Source organism: Homo sapiens, chromosome 3, assembly GCF_000001405.40.
Source record: "Homo sapiens chromosome 3, GRCh38.p14 Primary Assembly".
Taxonomy (NCBI): domain Eukaryota; kingdom Metazoa; phylum Chordata; class Mammalia; order Primates; family Hominidae; genus Homo; species Homo sapiens.
Genome location: NC_000003.12, coordinates 14587516 through 14609122, shown reverse-complemented (window position 1 = coordinate 14609122; position 21607 = coordinate 14587516). Strand labels below are relative to the sequence as shown.

General features: G+C 51.2%; 1 protein-coding gene and 1 long non-coding RNA gene across 3 annotated transcripts in view; one reads left to right on the top strand and one right to left on the bottom strand.

Moving 5' to 3' along the window:
- Positions 1–1200: 1200 nt before the first annotated feature.
- Positions 1201–6977, bottom strand: LOC105376960 (uncharacterized). Its single transcript, XR_940609.3, has 3 exons — positions 6866–6977; positions 4244–4448; positions 1201–1319 (listed from the first exon to the last, which is right to left on the bottom strand). It is a non-coding gene; the product is annotated as an uncharacterized LOC105376960 (long non-coding RNA).
- Positions 6106–21607, top strand: part of GRIP2 (glutamate receptor interacting protein 2) — a 113911-nt gene continuing 98409 nt past the window's right edge. For both annotated transcript variants that reach the window (XM_047449036.1, XM_011534142.4), the window contains exon 1: positions 6106–6195. In XM_047449036.1, the coding sequence (XP_047304992.1) occupies positions 6141–6195 (55 nt within the window). In that variant the 5' untranslated portion in view covers positions 6106–6140. The remainder of the gene's footprint in view (positions 6196–21607) is intronic.

The window sequence follows — 21607 nt, the reverse complement described above, 5'->3', positions numbered from 1 at the left end:
AAACAAACAAACCTCACAAATGTGAGAGAGTAAACAGAGATGGTTTTAGACATTTCTGGTCTCCTCTCAAGTATGAAATCTGTTTATTTAAAGACATTTCTCTGGAGATGTTTAGCGCAACCCCATGGGCACTGAGATGGGTTAAGGTCAGGAAAGCAAGGCAGTTTTTGATGCCCCCATCTAGAGGGGGAAAAACCGCCCCACAGATGTCCCAAGATGGAGAAAAGGAGATATTCCAGGACTCCTCGGCATAAAGTCTTCTGTGGGTTAAAAGGAATCGTGGTTGGGTGAGGCCCTGCAGCCTGAGGAAGGGTGAGATCTTTGAGAGCAGGTCCACTGCATGGACTGCCAACAAGAGGGCGAGGCAGGGATCGGGCCTTGGTTTTGCTGAGTAAAATGTGCAGGTTTGCTGTCAGAGCTAAACTGCAGGGGCTGACAACAGAGAAGCTAATTCTGTTCCCCGCATCCTCCTCACCCTCCCCAATCTGTGCTGGGCCTCTTCCCTGAATAACTGTGGCTGAACTGATATTTAGAGAATAGTAATTTCCATCCGACTCAAAAGCTGGGCTGCCTGGGGCTCCTCCTGAGCCCTTGTTCTGGCCCAGACACTAGAGGCTGCTGTTTCCAAAAGGTAGTCAGGCTATGCTTTCCCCATGATTGCCTGGTGGTGATGTGAGAGGAGAAGAGGCAGCTTCCAGCTTCAGGAGCTGGAGGGGAGGTGAAGGGCAGCCTCTATTTCCTTTCACTTCTCAGCCCTGACTGGACCACACAGAGAGCATCAGACTCAAGGGAAGCAGGACAGGAGAGGGCACCTGGGCCGCCATTCTTGCTCTGCCCCACCTCACTGAGTGGCCTTGGATGAACCATGTTGCAGCCCCTGTCTCATCTGCATTTGGCAACAGCTGCAGAATCATCTTGGAACGAGGTTCCTTCCAGCTCTAGGTGCCTGGGATGCCTTTCATCGAATGTCTCAGGCCCCTTACCTGCTTGTATCTCAGCCACATTGCAAGGTTGGGGGTTACAAGTCCCACTTTAAAGATGGATAAACTGAGGCTTGGAGAGGTGCAATGACTTGCCTGAGGTCAAGTAGCAAATAAAATGTTCCATTAGGATGTGAGCTCTGTGACAGCAAGGATTTTCATCCAAATCAATGATGTACTCAACACAAAGTACAGTGCCTCCTATGTAGCAGATGTTCAACAAATACCCAGCGAGCGAATGAATGGAACAGTGGAGCTGGGAGCTGGGATTTGGATCTGCAGCTGGGCGACTCCGAAGCTTTTGCTCTTTCTAATGCTCAACATTTTCTCCAGGTAGACCTATTGAAAATATGTGGATTATCTTTTTTGGAAGAGGAAGGACATATAAAAATATACAATATGGGTTGCCTGATAGCAATCATCAGGGAAGGGGCAAAGTGAAAGCTCAGGGTAATGGGGAGGCCAGTCCCGGACTTACAGCTTGAAAAGAGAAGCGAGGTGTGAGGCCTTGTACATGAGCTTAAACCAGAATGTAAAGGCTTTTCTGGAGCTCTGCTGGGTCCTGCAGTAATTGCAGAGTGATTGTCAGTGCATAATTGCATGCAAATGTCCCCCAGAGAGCCCACTGGCACCAGGGCGATTACCCTTGCACAGGGACCTCAGAACTTTTGTGATCTCTCACTCCTATTGATAAAACTATTTGGGAACATATGCCCCCAAAATGTGTACGCACTTGTAAACTGAACATATGTACCATTGTCAATCCATATACTAAATACCAGTAAAGCTTCCTTTCTTTATAATTTTAGATAATAAAAAGAAAGATAAGTAGTAATAGTTCCTTCCTGCACCCCAGTGGTTTGGCTCAGCATCTCCTCCCTCACCAGACCAAGTTGTGCCTGGCCCCCTCCAAAGGCCGGCAGGTTCCTGGGAAGTGCACCAGCCCTCTCCCTCCTCTCCCCAGGGAGCGCTGGCTGGGGGCCTGGAGGCCAGGCTGGGGCTGAGCTCCTGCCACCTCTTGGTGAATAAGCTTGGCTGAGCTTGGTTCCTGCCTGCGACAGCTCTTACAGTCCTCACCCAGCCTCCCGCACAAGGTCATGCTGAGATTCACTCAGAGGCCGTAGGGTGCAGTGGGGAACACACCCTGGGCACCACCAAGACAACAGCAACCAAGGAGGCCTTCAGATCAGCTGGCACTGCTTTCCCTGCAGCCGTGGTTCCTCAGGTGCCCCTCCCATTTCCACGATATTAATACAACTAATCATAGTGGCAAACACTTACATAGCACCTCCTGTGAGTCAGGCACCAAGAGCTTTACATGTATTGACTCATTTAATCTGCACAACAACCTTATCAGGGAGGTATTTTTAGTATCACCATCCCTATTTCACAGATAACAAAACTGAGGAATAGTTCAGGAACTCACCAGAGGCCACACAGTTTGGAGGGGATTTCAGACCAGATAGCCAGTTTCCTGTGATTTCTCCTCCTATTTCTTTTTTTTCTTTTTTAAGTTCCAGGTACATGTGCAGGATGTGCAGGTTTGTTACATAGGTAAATGTGTGCTATGCTGGTTTGCTGCACCTATCAACCCGTCACCTAGGTATTAAGCCCAGCATGGATTAGCTCTTTTTCCTGATGCTCTCCCCTCAGCTTCTCCCCTATTTCTATTCCTCTGATTACATCTTCCTGTTATGGCCCCATCACCTCTACCTTTTCCCTTTGTCCACTGCTCTTGCTGCCATTCTAGCTACTATTCTTATTATATGATCCCCTCAAACACTGGGCTTCTGTTTGCACCTTCTCCCTTTACTCTCCCTACCTGATGGCTTTGTCTCCTCCTTCATTCCTCCCCTACTGCAGTTCTTCCTATTCACGTCACCATTCTTTTTCTTATCACTATTCTGAATAGTACCTTTCCCAGTATCGTTCCTCTTCCTACTACTACTTCTTCTATCCCTCCTCCTGGTAACTAATTTCCTCTCTGACTCCTCCTCAGCCCTGTTGCATTTTCTCTTACTACTTCCTCTATTCATAGGACATCCTCTGTTACTCTTCCTCCTCTTCCTTCCTCTAACACTTTCTTTCCTTTCATGGGTTTCTGGAAGAGCTGCAAATTCTTTGTCACTCCTCCCATGAGAGGTGGGGTTCCCCCGCCCTCCCCTGGAATCCAGGCAGCTTATGACTGCTTTGATGGATACCGGATGGCGGGAAGCGCTGGGACACGATTTCTGAGGCTAGGTCATCCAAGGGGATGCAGCTTTCACCTTGTAGAGCTGGAACACTCGCCCTTAGAGCTCAGCCCCACGTAAGAAGTTTAACTGCCCCGAGGCCACCATGCTGTGAGAAAGCCCAGGCCACATGGAGGCACTGTGGTAGGCACTGGGACAACTGTTCCAGCTGAGTCCAGCCTTTGAGTCATTCCAACTCAGATGCCAGGCACCAGTGAGTGAAGACCCTCCAGATGATTCCAGCCCCCAGCTATTGGATCAGCCCCAACTCCACACCACTCCACCCTTTGAGTCTTCCTAGCTGAGGCCTTAGCCCATGTGGAGCTGAGACATATTCTTTCTGCCTTCTGTGCCCAAATTTTAACCCCTAGAGCTCATGACCGTAATAAAGTGATTGTTCTATGACACTTATGTTTAGAGGGGCCTGTTATGCAGCGTTAACAGGACCCCCGCCTCTTCTCATGGGGAGTTCCTGGGCCAGCACCCTGCCCTCCTAACTGGTCTCCTTCGCTGGGGCCTCCTTTCCTGGCACTGGTATCTTCGCTTCTCCCATCAGCAGTTCCAGCTCTGTCATCCTCAGAGCAGTGGGCATCCTAGCTGTGGAGGCCATCAATCTTAGTGCAGACAGGAGTGATTCACAATGCTGCTGCCGGGGGAGGCTCACTTCCTTGTCAGAGCTCACAGCCATTAAGACAAGCTCTGGAGTCAGCACTCCTCAGACTCAGGCCTGCCTGCTGATCTGCCCCTCCCTTACTCAACCTCTGGGCCCTGCACCCTGCTTACTAAAGTGGTTAATAATTCAGGATGAATACAGGGCTGCAATGTGACCCATCGAGGGTCTTAGGAACATAAATAAGAGACAAGCATATTGATGGACTTTGTGAGCAGCACTGTCTGGGGATGCTGTGGAGCTAGGCAGATCTGGGTTCAAATGCCCATTCTGCTACTCCTGGTGGTGTGACCTTGGGCAAGATATTTAAACTGTCTGAGGCCAAGTGTCTTCATTTGTGAAATGGGGCTAATTATACCAACCTTGAAGGATTATTGGGGACCTGAGATAATTCCCTTCGTTACGAAAGTGGAACTTCTGCATGCCAAAGTTCGGATGGCTTCACTGACGGTATGAAGATGCCTGGGATTCCACTGCTGAACTCTCTTTTGGAACACAAGCAGCTGGGTCAACTCTACTCAGCCCTGTTAGGGCATTATGATGATCCCTAGTTTGCAGATGGGGGGTCTGAGGTTCAAAGAGACAAGGTGATTTGCCTAGAGACAGTCAATTTAAATGTGGCAAACCCAGCGTTCAAGCAGAGGCTGCTTGCTTTCCTCCCAACCCTCACAGGGGTTATCATGTGCTCTGCACTGACCACCAGGGTCATATTTTACTGTGCTGTTGACCAGCAAGACCCTCTTCCTCTCTGAGCCAGAGCAGGGAGAGACAGCATCCTGGCATATAGGCTGACTTGACTGGGTGGGAGGAGGCAGCCTTTACTAAGGTATAAACACTTTAAATATTGTAAAAATTTGTCTATTTTAAAATTTCAACTTATTTTTTGTGTAGATAATGCATTTCTAGGGTTCAAAATTTCAAGAGGCACAAAGGGGGATTCAATGAAAAGTGGGCCTCTCCTACCTGCTCCTGGCCTCATGAGTCCTCTTTTAGAGAGGGCCAGTGTTTCCACTAGAGATAGTTCCCCACAGATCTGAGCAAATATGAATGCAGCTTTCCTTCCTTTCTGCACATTATAAATACTGTTCTTCACTTTGCCTTTCTCACTTAACAAGGCACCTCAGAAATGGCTCCCCATTGGGACACAAAGAAGGCCGTCCTCCTTTTCAGGGCTGTGTAGTACTCCATTGGCTGGATTTTGTGTGTGTGTGTGTGTGTGTGTGTGTGTGTGTGTGTGCCCCACACCTGTTCTCTACTCATTCCCTTGGAGAAAGCAAATCTGACTTCTGAAGATAGGCGTTTCTGCTCCATCCCCAGGTGGTTCATCCCCACAGCCTCTGAAATCAGATGAGCTCAGCTGCCTCAGCCTGGTGGAGGGAATCATTATTATCTCCACCACGCCAGCCTTTGCTGTGTGTTCAAACACAAGCTGTGCCCTCTCTGGGCCTCTTAGGCCTCATCAACAAGATGCAACCCTGAGGCCTCCTTCCCAGGACAGAGCTGAGGGCTCCTCTGGAGGGTCCTAGATCACTGTTGCCTCTTACAAGCCTGAGGCCAAGGGGCACTCACTCAATTGATTGATTTTTTTCAGTAACTTATTTACATTTTCCTTCACCCATTTACTCACTTATTAATTTACTCATTGATAAAGGCACTAATTCATTCATTCATTCACTCTCCCATTCACTTATTGACACATTTATTCAGGCCTTGATCCACTCACTCGTACATTCCTCCATTCATTCATTCGCCCATTCACTCACTTATGCACTCATCCATATACCTGTGTATTCACTCACTTATGCGCTGATTCATTCATTCACTCACTTATTCACATATTCATTCATTCACTAATTCGTGGTGATTAGAGTCATTTAGGTATGAGTTGGAGAGCCCTGTGTGTGGGGGAGACTGAGGACGGTGTGTGAGGCCGCTGGATGTCAGCGAGGGTGCGAGACGGCTGGGGCGCCTTCGGGCTCCCCTCCAGCCGTCCTCTCCGCGCCCGCCCCCACCGCCATCCCGCCCCCGGCGCCCGGGAAAGCGCGCGCTCGAAAAGCGTAGCTGCTCAGCCGCGGGCTCGGGAGCCGGAGCGGAGCGCCTGGCGGCCGCCCCGGCACCCCCACCCTCGGCGGCCGTCCATGCCCGCGGCTCCCTGGGCCCGCGGCCCTCCCCAGCGCTGCGCTGCGCCGCCCTGCCCGGCGGGGGCGGGGCCGGGGCCGGGCTGGCGAGGCCGGGCCGGGCCGCAGGGCGGCCGCGGGGATGCGGGGCTGGCGGAGGAACCTCGCGCTCTGCCTGCAGCGGCTGCCGGACGAAGGTAAGACGCGGCCGCTGCCCGGCCGGTGAGCGCGCGCGCGGCGCGGGGTGCGGAGGGCGGACCCAGAGCTGAGCTGGCCCGGGGCGCACACGCCTGGGGCGCCGGGGAGGGTCCCCGCGGGAGGCGAAGACAGGCGCCGGCACCCGAGGCGCAGGAGGGGGTCCCAAAGTGGGGAGCCTGGAGGATCACCTCAGGACGCGAGCTGCGGAGCGGAGCCTGGTCCCGGAAAGCCAGCAGTGGGGCCCACGGGGCGCGGGAGTGTGGGACCCGGGGCAGGGCGCCCGCCGGGGGCTGGAGCGAAGGGTCTGAGCCCTCGAGGGGGCATCCACCGGCCCGGCCGGCGGGTCGGGCTCCTGGAGGGAGCCCTGGCTTGGCGAGGCGGCCACGTGCCTCACCTGCTCCCTCCAGCCAGCCCGCCGGGTGTCGGGAGGTGGCCGCGCTCACGGTGGGGGTCCTTTGGCCCCCGAGGCTGCGGTCCGTCGCACCCAACTTTCCTTTGAACGCCCGGCGCCACCCCCATGCCGACCCCGGAGTCCGCGGTTACTCAAAGTTGCGAGGAGGCCAGGGAGGGGGCTGACTCGCCGCACTGCCCCCTGCCCGGGCCTGCCCCTGCACAGCAGCGCTGCGGCTCAACCCCTGCGCGGGGCCGCCCGGGCTGCTCCCCGCGTACCTGTTGTCTGACCGCGAGGGGGCGGGAGGAGGAAGGAGGACCCGCGCCTGGGTCCTGCCACTGCTGAGGAAAAGTTTGGATTTGGTGCTAATGAAGAATTTTCAGAACTGGGAGTCGGGGGCAGGGTGAGGTCACAGTGGTGGCTGCTCACCCGCTGCTCACTTTGGGGGGCATAATGGCTGACTTCGAGGCCCCGCAGACTGTGCACATCGCCCCTGCCTTTGACCTTCACAATCACCCCCTTAGGAGGGCGCTATTTTTCTTTCGCTTTGCAGATAAGGACACTGAGCCTCAAAGAGGTAAAGCCCCTTGCCCAAGGTCACACAGCCAGCAGGTGGTAGAGCTGCCCGGGAACCTAAATCTATGTGACCCGCAAGCTTTTAGTAGTTTCCAGGCCTCCCACCTTCTTCCAGTCTGCCCCCCAGGTTGGGCCTCTCTCAGTCTAGTGGGAAAGTTTCCATTTCCAGCCCAGGCCCAGAGCTCCTGTGTGGGACTTGGGGTAGGGTGGAGGAAGACGGAGAGAGCTGGTCCCTGCCCCTCCTGTCCTGTCCCAGGGCCAAGTAGGGTCTGTCTTCTCGGCCCCACTGAGATCCTGGGTTGTGAGGGGTTGCAGGCAGAGCCCGTGGAGGGTCTTGCTTAGACAGCCATTAAGCCTTAGCCAGTGCCTCAGACCCTGGTGGGCCTATAGGTGTGCCCAGCGAGGGAGCAGACCCTCCACTCCTCGCCTGACCTGAGTTGGTGCGGATGGAGCAGCTTTAGGGTAGAGAGGGTGCCTAGGTTTCCTTCCTTGAGATTGAGGGAGGAGGCAGGGGAGAAGGGCTGCCAATAAGGAGGGGGGCGGTGTCTTGGAGGAGTGCCTCTACTCAACGGAGCTGCCCCCAAGGAGCAGGGCTAATTAAGAAGGAAATCTCGCAGAGCCAGGTGCCCACCACTAACTTTCGTCTGAGCATGCCCTGTGATCTTGGACAAGCCTCTCTCAGGCTCACTTTCTGCCTCTTTAAAGGGGTGGGGGGCAACCTGTCCTGTTGGGGCCCTAGGAAGGATGAAATGAGGCACCCTGGCAAAGCACACAGTCCAGAACAGGCTTGGAAGTGGGGGCTGTAATGTCCTGAGAGGGACTATGTAGCTCTCTTGCTCTTGACACCCCCTGCCTCGTGTGTGTGTTCGTGTGTGTGTGTGTGTGTGTGTGTGAGAGAGAGAGATGGGTGAGGCGGGTGGATGGTGTGTCTATGTGGGTGGCATGTTTGAGATGCATGTGGGTGTGTACAAGGCATGTGTGTGACATGTATGAGGCATGAGAGTCTTGTGACACCAACAATGGCTTTGCCCACACTGAACACATCTCTTGAGAGAAGGCCAATGCCTTCCTCAATGCCAGGAGGTGCCCCACATTTGAATTTTCCTTGGAAAATCTGAGTTGGGATTGATCCTTGAGCTCCGCACTAAATCAGAGGGTGGCTGGTGTATCCACCCGCGCTGGCAGGAAATTACTATTTTAAAAAGGCAAAATCTCCGGCTTTCTCTGGGCCACAGGAAAATTAGTCCCCGTGGGCTGGGTCTCACATGAGAGGTTTGGAGATGTGAGTCCTGCTTGACAAGAGGTTGTGGGGAGAGGTCAGCCAGGCCCAGGAGTGACAGGGATAGATGCAGGGACAGGGCCATCCACCTGGCATCTCTCAGAGAGGGGCCCCAGCCAGCGGGAGGGATGTTTTGAACAAGACCAGCTCATCTGCCTACACGTTGTATAATTTAAGGCCTCAACAAAGAGGAGTGGGCTTGAAGACCAGACTCATGTCCTTCTTAAGTCCCTCTGATTACTAACTATGTGACCTTGGGGAAACTACTTAATTTTTCTGAGCTTCAGTTGCTTTCACCTGTAAAGTTGGAGGGGCAGCCTCGCGGGGTGGTCAGAAAGAGTCAATGCTAACATATCCTAGCACAGGAACCAGCACGTAATAGGTGCTTAAGAAATGCCAGTTCTGTTCTCCCTTTCTTGATTATTATATCTGATTTAACTTCAGATTTGGAGAAATGATCTGATGCATTGTTGGGCTCGTTGGTCAGAGGAGAACTCAGGGCTCAGGGTGGATTTCTGGGTCATGAGTGGCCAGCTTGAGATGTTCCACTGCTAGGGTTTGAGGGGATCCAGTAGGTTTGTGTCTACCATGTGGCTACTTGAATTCATGGCCTACTGTTGCCCAGTGAGAATGGACAAGACACACCACAGACTTACATAGCACATGTGTCAGAATCACTCACACAGGGTTTAGAATCTTAAACAGCAGTCATCTTCCTTGAAGAGAGACACATGTAGCTGCTGGGATTGGGATACTCTGTGATTCTTGCTTTATTACGTTTTTGAGTTGTGTGTGTATGTGTGTCTGTGTGTGTGTGACTGTGTTTGTGTGTGATCCACACTTCCCAAGCACTGGGCACCTTGAACTTCTGTTATCTGAGGGATTGGGGGTAACTTGAAGCTAAGGACAGGCTTTTATTTTTCTGATTGTGCAGAGACCAGCTGGAGCTGACACACACACACACACAAACACACACACACACACACACACACACAGAGAGAGAGAGAGAGAGAGAGACTTGTGCTTCAATGACCCTCCCCCTTGACATTTTCTTTCTTTTATTGCAGCAAATGCTTCCAGAGGACCCCTTTCCAACTCCCCCTCCCCAGGCTCTGGCTGGCCTCTGTGCACAATCAGAAAAATAAAAGCCAGTCCTTAGCCTCAAGTTGCCCCCAATCCCTCAGATAACAAAAGTTCAAGGTGCCCAGTGCTTAGGGAGTGTGGAGTTGAGGGCGGCAGCAAATTCCTATCAGGGAGACTGCTCAGAGGAGGAAGGCGCTGCGACCCAGTTGAGAAGGTCAGATTTCCACCAGCAGATTCTTCCTGTGGTGTGGCCTGATTAATTTCCCTCCTTATGCTGGCCCTTTCTGTCTCTAATAGACCCTTGGAATGTTAGCCAGAAGTGTTATAGAAGTCATCAGATCCAACCCTTATTAGAGAGATGGGGGAAACATAGATGCAGCAAGAAGGAAACAACTTTTCATTCATGCAACAAATATTTACTGGGCCTTGTTCTGGGTATTGGGGGATAAAACTGTGAACAAGAAAAAGACCCTGTGAAACAGAGTTTACATTCTAGAGGGGGAGACAAAGAACAAGTGAACAAATAAATGTGAATGGAGAGTTTCAGAGAGTCATCAGTGATATGAAGACAACACAGGAATACAGGGTGATGTAGAAGAGAGTCCCGCGGGAGGGTGCTTCTATAGCAGGATGGCCTAGGATGATCAGGGAGGCATCCCTGGAAGGTGACTTTGAGCTGGCACTAAAGAGTGAGAAGGCCCAGCCACACCAAGAGCAGAAGGAAAAGCAAGGCAGGCGGAGGGAACAGCAAATATAAAGAAAAGCCCTGGTCTTCAGGGGGTTGTGTGGGGAGGACAGTTTGACCTGTTGGAGGAAGAGAAAGAAGAATAGAGGAAGGGAGAGAATGATAAGGTTGGAGGAATCAGATCATGGAAAGTCAGATCAGTGTAGGACCTTTACTGCCAGGGAAAGGAGTGTGGATCTTATTGTGATGGGAGCCCTTGAAGGAGGGGCTCGGAGCTCTTGGGAGACCAAGAGCTTGGGCTAGCTCCGAAAATGACCAAAGTTTTGGGTGATAGAGATGGTAGTAGGGAGTGGCATCCCAGGCAGAGAAACAGCATGAGTAAGGGGGTGGAGGTGAGAAAGCTGTGGGAGATAAAAGGCTGTCAACGTAGTTAACCAAAGGCTTTGAAGTCTTGGGTTGGGGTGGGGATCTGTCCAGGGTGCTGATAGGCACATCCGGCATTTCTGCAGTTATGGACTGTTAAGGGAGCATGGTTGTGTGTGTGCGTGTGTGTGTGTGTGTGTGTCCCCCTGTGGTACCCAGCTAGCTGATGTGTCCCTATGCCGGTTACCTAGGAGACAACGGGAAGACGATAAGGCGGCTTTTGATTGGCTCCTCACTCCTGCTGCTCATTTCCCTGTCAGAACCGCAAGCAGAGGTTACAAATGGTCCACGAGGTCATGCCAAATGCTGGAAGGGGAGCCATGAATGTTCATTGCCCCAGGTCCTGTGTGTGTTTGTGTGTGCGTGTGTTTGTGTTTGTGTTTGTGTGTGGTTTCCAGTGCGTGGGTGCATACACACTTCCTGAACAAAGCGGCATCTGGAGCTAATGCACTTCCTGCTGTGAAACATCTGCTCATTGCCTTAAATCAGGTAGTGGGGGCCCAGATAAATTTACAGAGGACCAGTTAGACTTTGGAAGGAATCTTTTGTTTGGGTTTAATAATTGCAGTGTCAACACCGGAGCTGATTTTAAATGTCTCCTTGTACCTCCAAAAAATGCAAATAAAGCTTTGAATGGTGGAAGTCATTTCCCATGCCATGGATCATGATGTCAGCATGCAGAATTGCCCCCCGCAACCCCCACCCCAGCCACAAATGGTGATATAGATTGTAGACTTGTTTTTCTTACCCTCTCCTTTAAAATCATCTCTTTTGCTTTTGCTTTGTGGGTAAAAGGACAAGGAATCTACACTCTAATTTGGCTTAGAAAGGTGGTGGAGAAACACAAAACCCATCAAAGTGATTTCTTTGCAGTTGGCTTTCTAAGGCAGCAGCCTGGGTAGGCTTGGAAAATAATTTTTTTTTAAAAAAACCAAAACACATAAAAAAAGCCTCAGGGCTGCAGAAGATTTAGCATTCTCGGTCTCTCTTCCACCTGCCCTGCCTCCACTTTGCAGGGGTTGGCAGATGATGCAGTTGGTGAGGAAGGAAACGAGAATTCCCCCTCGCATTCTTGGCTTCTCTGTCCTTGGCTCAGGTTTTAGCATGCCATGCATGAGCCTTCTCTGCCTCTTCCCTGCCATCCTAATGGGGATTTTTTTTCCCCACTGGAAAAAATTATCATATGCCTTCCACCCAGTTCCCTATTTCTCATGTCTCTTCCACCACTGATCAGAGATGTTTTATCTGAAACACATATTGGAAGGTGGTTTTCACCTGTTTACACATTGCTTATTATGCTCCATTACTTACAGTAAGGTCTCAGGCTTTAATGCCTTCACCCAAAAGATGAGTGAAGGGGACCCCAGGGCCTTTGCACTTGCTGTTCCCTTTTGCTGGATTGATCTTCCACTGGTTCAGTAACTCACTTCGTTTAGATCTATGCAGCTGGCTGGGCGCAGTGGCTGCTCCTATAATCCTAGCACTTGGGAGGCCAAGGCAGGTAGAATTACTTGAGCTCAGGAGTTTGAGACCAGCCTGGGCAACATGGCAAGACCTTGTTTCTACAAAAAAATTTAAAAAATCAGCTGAGTATGGTGGCGTGTGCCTGTAGTCCCAGCTGCTCAGGAGGCTGAGGAAAGAGGATTACTTGGGCCTGGGAGGTTGAAGCTGCAGTGAGTCATGATTGTACCACTGCGCTCCAGCCTTAAAAAAAAAAAATCTATACAACTGTCCCCTCCTCAGAGAAGCCTTCCCTAATCATCCCACATAAGATAGCAGTCCTTTGGTCCTATGAGTTTCCTATTCCTGCCAGCCCTTTGCACTGCTGGGTTTTATGTTAAGTGCTCATATATCACCTTTCTCTCCCTCTAGTGAGTGCTGTGAGGACTGTGCTTGTGTCTATTTTGCTTTCCACTGTATTCCCGGTGACTAGTATATTGCATGGTACACAGTAGGTGCTCAACAGGTATTTGTGGAGTGAGGGAGTGAGATGGGCCTGGGGACAGTGTTGAACCAGAGAATGTGGGCCTTATGGGTTTCTGGTTCAACCACCAGAGTTTCTGATTTTTCTAGAGAAGCTAAAAATCTAGAGTTTAACCTACTGTCTCTCTCAATTTTAAAAATGTTAACCACCAATCTAAACAAAAAGCCCTAAGGGTCAAACGCACTCCCTTTTGAGCTGGATTTAGCCCAGGAGTCCCTACTTTGATGCCTCTGATACTCAAAGCCCTGTGATTGGCTGCAGTAACCTTTCTTACCTCCTTACCTGCCAGAGGGCTTGCTCCTTCCTACCTCAGAGCCTTTCTCAGGCAGCTGCCCCTGCCTGGAGTTCCTCTCCCATCCTCTTCTTCACCCTGTAAGTGGTGGTTTCCTCCAGTTCTGACCCCAAGGCCAGGCCTGTGGGTGCAGCTTCCTGTTGTCCCTGCTAACATGACAGAATTAGCCCCTCTCACTTTGTAGGAACAAAGGCATGTGCTTGTATCTCCATCACTGGATATAGAGCCTCATGGGGGCAGGGACCCCGTCCCATTCCTCCTTGAGTCTGAAGTGCCCAGCTCAGAAGCCAGCATGCAGTAGGTGCTCACTAGGTGAGTGGTGAATGAAATAAAGAAGAGAAGGGGGAGGAAGCAACCTTTGCGAGCCAGGCCCTGGGCTGCCCCTGTGCACATCCGGCCCTCACCATGGCCCCACCACGAGGATGCTGAAGCTCAGGGAAAATGGCTTGGCCGGAGCTGCTGGTCTGCAAGGGGCAACCTGCGGAGCCAGGCAGCCCCTCCCTGCGTGTGTGCATCTCCATCCCACTTGCTCTGTGGCTGTAGCACCCACAGGGCCACACCAAGGCTGGGTGGGTGTCTCAGACAGTGCCTGAGCCAGGAGCATAAGTCTGTGGTCCTTCCCAACTCTGTGAGTGATCCCCGTGGCGACTGTCTGACCTTTCGGGGCCTCAGTTTCCTACTCAGAAAAATCAGAAAATAGCTCTGTCCCAAGGGGATGCTGTGTGCGTCTAATTTTTAAAAATGGAGGAGAAAGTGGTTTGAAAGTGCAGGCGGCTCATACCTGTGGAAGTCCCTGAAATGGGTGTGGGGGAGGGGCTGAAGAGTGTGCTGGAGCAGGGGCTGCACTGATGAGAGTGTGTGAGGTAAAAAACAATGACAATAATAACAGCCAGGCGCTGGGCACACACCTGTAATCCCAGCGCTTTGGGAGGTTGAGGCAGGAGGACCATCTGAGGCCAGGAGTTCTAGACCAGCCTGGGCAACATAGACATCATCTCTACAAAAGCACAAAAATTAGCTGGGTGTGGTGGCGCACATCTGTAGTCCCAGCTACTCAGGAGGCTGAGGTGGGAGGATCACTTGAGCCCAGGAGTTCTAGCCCAGCCTGGGCAACATAGTGAGACACCATCTCTACAAAAAAATACAAAAATTAGTCGGGTGTAGTGGCACACACCTGTGGTCCCAGCTACTCGGGAGGCTGAGGTGGGAACGTCACTTGAGCCCAGGAGTTCCAGGCTGCAGTGAACTGTGATTGCGCCACTGTGCTTTGGCCTGGGTGACAGGGTGAGACTCTGTTTAATAATAATAATAACAGCTAACCATTATTAATGGTTTACTCCATGCAGGCTAAGCGCTTTATATGTTAACTATTTTAATTTTCATAACAACCCTGTGAGGTAGGTACTATACTTAATCTCACTTTTCAGATGAGGAAACTGAGGCAGAAATGTTGAGTGACTTGCCTGAGGGCACACAGCAGCTAAGGGGCAAAGCTGGGATTTGAACCCAGGCTAGAGGCTGTGCTTTTAACCACTGGGAAGTGAATGAGGGCTAAGGTTTCCATGTGGCTCCTGCAGGGTCCTTTGGATGTGATTGTCCTAGTCCTAGAGTGGCCCTGCCCTGGCCCAAGTGGAGCTCCTCTCCCTCCCCAGGATTCACCCATGTGTTGAGTGTTGATCCCAAGAGACTGAGTCTCAGTCTGGGACTCTCCAGACAGGCCTCAGGCAAGGTGAGGGAGCGCCTCTTTCCCCAGGGAAGGAAGGCTGCCACTGGGAGTCACGCCTGCTCCCAGCCTCTGCCCTCGGTGTGGCAGCACGTCACCGCTTCCCTACACACGTGCCCCGAGTCTGCTCTTCCTCCTGGGGCATCTGATCCATATCCCCAGAGCCCGGGGCAGGGCTGAGGGAGGGCCAGGACCCCTTAGCTCCCAGCACAGACTGGCCCAGTGTTTAGCAAGACTGTGAAAGAGACAATTGTTTGCTGTACCTGCTACCCTGGGAGAGGGATAGGGACAGACCAGAGTCAGAGGCAGAGAGACAGAGCACCTGTCCTGGGAGGGCTCAGAGCAGTACTTGAGGGCTGGGGAGACCAGGTCTCTTCAGGGCCATCCCAGGCACAGAGAACAGGCAGGTCTAGGCCCCCAAAAGGCAGGGCTGCACCTCGCCAGGAGAGGAGTCACAGGGAGGCAGCAACTGCAGTGAAAGGCTTTCTGCTGGTCACAGTTGGCTAGGGATGGGCTGGGGGCTTTGAGAAGGGTGAGTCCCCCACCATCAGGGTCATGCAAATAGAGCTTGGATGAGCTTTCACTGGGGGTGTGGTTTGAAAGTTTGGACTAGAGCCTAGCTCTCAACTCTTTGGGCCTGGGTGGGGGTGTCTTTGTGTTGTCACAATCACAGCAGGGCTGCTGGCCTTTAGTGGGAGGGTACCAGAGATGCTATGTCTCTGGCATATCCAGGACAGTCCTGCCCAAAGAACTCTCCACCCCAAATGCCAGCAGCATCCCTATCGAGGAACCTCAATGCCTTTAGCCTCCGGAGTATGAGGGATGTTGTCAACCTGTAGCGCACTGGAACTGTGAGAAGGGAGGATGGCCTGCGCCTCGTGAACCATGGGGTGGCATCGTTGGTGGTTTGTCACACAAAACCCATGTTCAGGGTCATCTTGGGAGAACTATAGGAGCTCTGGACCCACATGGTGACTGTGTCACTCGTTTGTGTGATGCCTTCTGTCCACTGGCCTGGACTGAACGAGGCTTGGTGATGCACACAGCAAATGGTCGTAAGTTGTCCTCGTTTGATTCTTGCGTTGCCGGAAGCGGGAGCCATGAGGATCAGTCATGTTCATGGCCCAGTGGGGAGGCCCCTAGGCCTGTGTCTGAGAAACCAGACAAGACACTGAGTCAGAGGAAAGTCGGAGTGGCTTTTGGAGCAAATATTTATCTCAGGAATGTTTTTTTCTCCATAATACAAATAATATTCTCTCAAGATGTAAGCCAAAAGCAGAGACAAATACTGTGCTCCCCAGGCAGACAAGGGTGTCAGGAACTTGGCACCTGAGCTGTGCTGGGCTGAGACCCCAGCGGCTGGGAAAATCCAGGCCAGGCTGGGCTGGGTTGGGGATGACATTAGTTCCCAGTGGTGTCCACGTGTGTGGTGACACCAGGCTTGTCCTGGCCTATGAGTGTACCAGGCAGGGGTGCGATCAGTGGAGCAGAAAATACTCAAGTTAGATGGTGGCAGCATTGTGGCTCCGTGTCCTTGTTCTGGGAGAAGGGCACGAGTCAGATGGTGGTAGCATTGTGGCTCCAAGTCCTTGGTCTGGGAAGAGGATGCTAGTCAGACAGCAGCAGCATTGTGGCTCCATGTTTTTGCTCTGGGAGGAGGATCCTGGCCAAGAACAAGGATCACGGGGTTTTGGGGCCAGAATTCCAAAGAACAGGGTCAAGCAAGACACTAGACTGCAGATGGGGAAATGGAGGTAGCAGCCTATTCTTTGTGCTAGGCCACCACAAGGAGTCAGGGGAAGCGTGGCTTGTTGGGTGCCTGGAAACCCAGAGCTTCATGTGTGACATCAAACACTCCCGCCGGTGCTGGGAATTGGGTCTCCTAATATCTGGCCAGGGAAAAGAGCCCAAACCGTGAGGACAGCTAAACATGGGTCCACGTCCTGGTAGGCGACCTTGGGCAAGTTCTCTCCTCTCTGAGCCCGGTTTCTTCAGTGGAGTGTGTGGGGTCGACTGTTTAAAGAGGCTTCCCAGGGCCTGATGGCCTCCCACCCTCTTTCTTTCCCCGACTCCTTTACCAGCTGGAGACACAGAGCCTGTCCATGCAGGTCTGCTGGCAGGAGACTCGGCCTCGGGGCTCTTTAAACTTGGATGGCACCTCCCAGGGTGGAAGCTGTGGAGCCTCAGAGCCCTGGAAGGCCCCATGGATCATCAGCCTCTCAGGCACTTACTTCTGCATGGTCCTATCTGTCATCCTTTCTCTGAAAGTTCCCCCACTCCAACTCTGAGCTGAGCTCAAGGACCCAGCCTGGGAGCAGCTAGGACAGGCCCGAGTGTGGAGGGGGCAGAGATGCCCCTCTATGTGGAGCTGCTGGATGCATTCACGTGGCCATTTACATTTTACTGAGCAGCCTTATTCATATTACTTAAAGTCATCCATTCAATCATTAGACTTTTTTGGGTACCTGCTATGTGCCAGACATCAGAATACAGAGCTGAAGTAGATAGACAAGGTCCTAGATCTCACAGAACAGAGCAGACAGATGTGGATACAGAGGCCCGAGAGGCTGCTGCTGCTTCCCTTCCTCTTGATGTGCCTCCTGGGCACCAGGTACTTACATCTCTTCTCTACTTTTCTTGACATCTGGTCTGCCTCAGTTTACCTACTGGGACTCACTCCTGTGTAGTCCTTGCCCTTGAATGGCGTGTACTCCCAGAAGGTCCTCAGGGTGCCTGGCACTGGGAGATAGAGGGCCCACAGCTTTCTCTGAAATCAGGAGGTTGGAAAAGAAGGCAAGAGGCACGGTTTGGCTAAAACCCAGGCTCCCTTCCAGAAAGTTAGCTAACTTTTCCATTTGCTGAGTCTATAGAACTCTGAGGAAATAGTCATTCTTTATTCCATTTGTTCTTTCATTGCATAAACCATTATTAAGCCCCTGTTGCATTCTAGATACTTCTTTTATATCATTTCATTTATCTTCCCAGAAGCCTGACTGAGCGTAGGTCTGATTATTTCCATCTCATAATTGAGAACCTGAAGCACAGAGAGGTTAAGTCAATTGCCCAAAGATGCGCTGCTGGGAAGTGGCCGAGTGGGGATTTCACCCCAGGAATGTCTTTCTGCCAAGCCAAGGCTCTTCCTGTGTCCTCAGGCAGCTTCTCCTGGAAGTATGGTGCTCAAGATCATACAGGGAATATTAATACCACAGGAGTGATGGGGCGGGCACTCAGGGAAGGAGCGTGGAATTCTGTCTGGGGCTGGGGAATTGGAGTTGACATTTGATCTGGGTTTTCAAGATGAAGTTGAGAGTTGGCCAGAAGGAAAGAGCAGGGAAAGGCATTTAAGGCAGAGGGATCAGCATGTGCAAAAGCACAGAGTGGAGAGAAGTGTGCTGTGCCCACATCTGAGTAGTGTGACTGGCCTGTTAGCTGTGTGAGGTGCACATGTGGAGGGATGACTCTGCAGAGGTGGGTTGGGGCCAGATTGTGGAGGGCAGAGATAGCCACATCTGGCTCACAGGTGGGTCTTGTTTGACTCTGATAGTGGCTTAAAAAATCAGTTACCAGTAAGTTTTCAATGGAGTAGAACGTTCACATAAAAAAATGTAGATTTACTGCTTTCTTTGGAAGATCGGGCAACCCTGGGTTTGCATTTTTGCTTTCCCCCTGGGGGCACATTGTGGTACTCTCCACCCAGCCCCTTTATACACTTAATCACCTGCTCAGCTGGTAGAGGCCTTTGTATTTGAGACTTTGAACTCACTTGCTAGATGAATTTGAGCTTCATCCTCGTTAGGCGGTTGAAAGGTTTTCAAGCAAGAGTGACATCTTCAGAAAGCTCCTGCTGGCTATTAGAGGGAGAGAAGCAAGTGGAGGCAGGGCGACCCCTGAAATGACCGTCCTTGCTATGTTAGGAGCATTTGCTCAGCATTTCTGGGAGCCTTATTCATTCTCTCTCTACTCCTTGTAATAACCCTGCAAGGCGGGGTATCAGCCTTATCAGATGAGAGAAAAAGTCCAAATGCAGATGTGATGAAGAAAATGATTGAAAAATTGGAAAATAAAAAGTAAAACATTTTGTATAACAAAAGAAATCATTCAGAAGGTTCAAAGACAAGACACAGATGAGGAGGAGTGGTATTTACAACCTACATCCCAGATAAAGAATGATATCTGAGTACACAAAGATCTGCAAATCAATAAGAAAAGTAAGCGTCCAGGAGCCTGGGAACAGGCCTGAGCAGGCAGCGATTAGAAGAGGAAACACAGGTGGCCAGAAAGGGCTGAAAGAAGGCCAGCCTCACCTTCTCAGGGATTATTCTGTTAGCATTAGGAAAACACTCATAAAAGCCACATGCAATATCAATTTTAATGGGAAATTTTAAAATTCGTGGTGTTTAGCTGGGTGTGGTGGCTCACCCCTGTAATCCTACCACTTTGGGAGGTGAGGCAGGAGGATCACTTGAACCTAGGAGTTTGAGACCAGCCTAGGTAACATGGTGAGACCTCATCTCTACAAAAAATACAAAAAGTGGCCAGGTGTGATGGTTCATGCCTGTAGTCCTAGCTACTTGGGAGGCTGAGATGGGAGGATTGCTTGAGCAGGGAGGTTGAGATGTGGGGTTGAGGCTGCAGTGAGCCATGGTCATACCACTACACTCCAGCCTGGGCAACAGAGTGAGACCTTGTCTCAAAAAAAAAAAAAAAAAAAGTGTAGTCTGTAGTGTTGGTGGGATTGTGGGGGAAGTAGAGGCTGACATCTACAATAAGTGGGTAGTGCTATCGTGGAGGTTAGTTTGACAGTTACCTGTCGATATGGCAAGTGCTGACACTCTTTGACCCGGCCGTTCCTTCTCCAAGTATCTATTCTAGAGAAAAACCTATCACAGACGCACTAGACAACATGAATAAGGACATTTGTTGCAGTGTCAATAAACTTTTAAAAAGGAATAAACCAACTGTCTATAGGGGATTGGCCTGAGAACTCAGTCACATTGTTCAGGTAAAAAAAATCTCAAAACACATCCTTGAAGAACCTTTCTCCAACCCCTGTCTTCCATCTGCTAGTCCCCACCTCTCCCATGGTAGGCAACAACTACCATCATCCATTTCTAGACTGTCCTTCTAGAAATTTCTTCTATGCCTATAGAAGCAACTGTGAATACATCTTTCCCCCTTTTTAGACAAATAGTTGTGTACTATCATGCATTTCTACACTTTGCTGTTTTATCACGAGGTATATTGTACACAACGAAGAGTGATGGGTACATTTGTATTTTTTAAAGAGCAACATAAAGACGTCCCCAGTGCACCCGTTCTCTAGCTAAAGAAATAGGTTGTGTCTAGTGCCTGGTGTTGCATGGCTCCCCAAGAAGGCTGTTCCAGTTTATGCTCCCACTTAGGATTTGTGTGAGTTTGCAAAAAGGATAAAGACTTGAGATGGTTTTGCTTGTTCAAGGTCCCGAGTGAGTAGGCGCTTTCTGTTCAGCCCCAGGCCTCTGCTCAGTGGGGTGGAGACCACAGCCTGGAGGAGAGGGATGGAGGCAGGTTTTGGGGGGCTGGGTGTGAGGGGCCCGCCATGAGGCCCCTGTCTTGGAGGTCCCTGGATGGATAGCCCTGGAAGCTGGGAGCCAGCTAGAAGCTTGCTGGGGAATCCCCTGTGTGGGAGGTGTGGGGGGCCCTTCAAACAACCACTTTTCAACCAAATGAGCAAATGCTTCCCCTCTCTCATCCAGGGATGGTAATTTTTCTAGGGTGAAAAATGAATTCTCCCAGGAAGCTTTCCTGCCAGAGACCCTGGAGCCTTAAATTTACTGCTTGCCTTCTGTGCTGACGGAACTGAGCCTCAAGATTTATATCCAGGGGTTTGTGGGCAGCTGGCTCTGGGCCGGCGGGAGTCCTGAAGGGCAGGCAGGTGGGTGCAGCTGTATTTTACAGTGAGGCTGGACCCCAGAAGGGTACACATCAGTGGCCACCTGGGTCCCAGGAGAGGCCACCCACCTTGAGTGAGTGGGGAGGGGCTTGAGGCTGATGTCTGAGGACAGCAGAAAGGACCTATTCTCAGAGACCACTCAGTTTGGCTCTCCTGGGTAGTAGGTAGGGAGACAGTGTCCAGAGAAGGAGAGAGGGTGGCCCAGGGTCCCAGGGGAGGCCGGGGTTCCTCACACCCAAGGAGTCAGACTCTGGCTTGAGTGACTTGCTTTTTGCTGTTCTTTTGTTTCTTCTAATATAAACCAGGCTGAACCACAGAGCTCACTAAACAACTCTTGACTGAGTGCCAACAGTTTGTTGGGACCAGAGCAGTGACTAAGACCTCAGTGAACTCTGCCCTCCAGGAACTCACAGACAGAGCTAACGGTCTCCCAGGTTGGGTGCAGGAGCCATGCCCAGGACAGTCTCCTGAGGAGGAGGTTGGGAACAAATATGAAGAGCTTCCATTTACATTTATCTTCTATCACAGTTTAATTTGTTTCTCTTTTTGGGTATGTTGTATAATGTGCATGATATGCAAATATAGTAATACATGGCTACTTTATGAATAATATGTATATGTCACTGCAGAGGAATGCACATTTTTTATAGACGGAGTGCAAGATTGAAAAGATTTGAGGAGGAGCCCTGCCTACCTGTTGGGAGTATAGTAGTTGGAAGGACCCTGAGCTGGGGTCTTGGAGGGCAGAGCGCACCCAGCATTTACTACCATGTGCTGGGCACAGGCACAACCCTTTCTGTAGAGGCCACAATCCTACCAAACAATGGGAGGCAGGGACAGTTAACTTCATTTTGCAGATGAGAAGATTGAGACCCAGAAAAGAGAAGGGTTTTTTTTGTTTTGTTTTTTTTTTTTTTTTGGAGATGGCATCTCACTCTGTCGCCCAGGCTGGAGTGCAGTGGCATGATCTCAGCTCACTGCAACCTCCGCCTCCCAGGTTCAAGCGATTCTCCTGCCTCAGCCTCCCTAGTAGCTGGGACTAC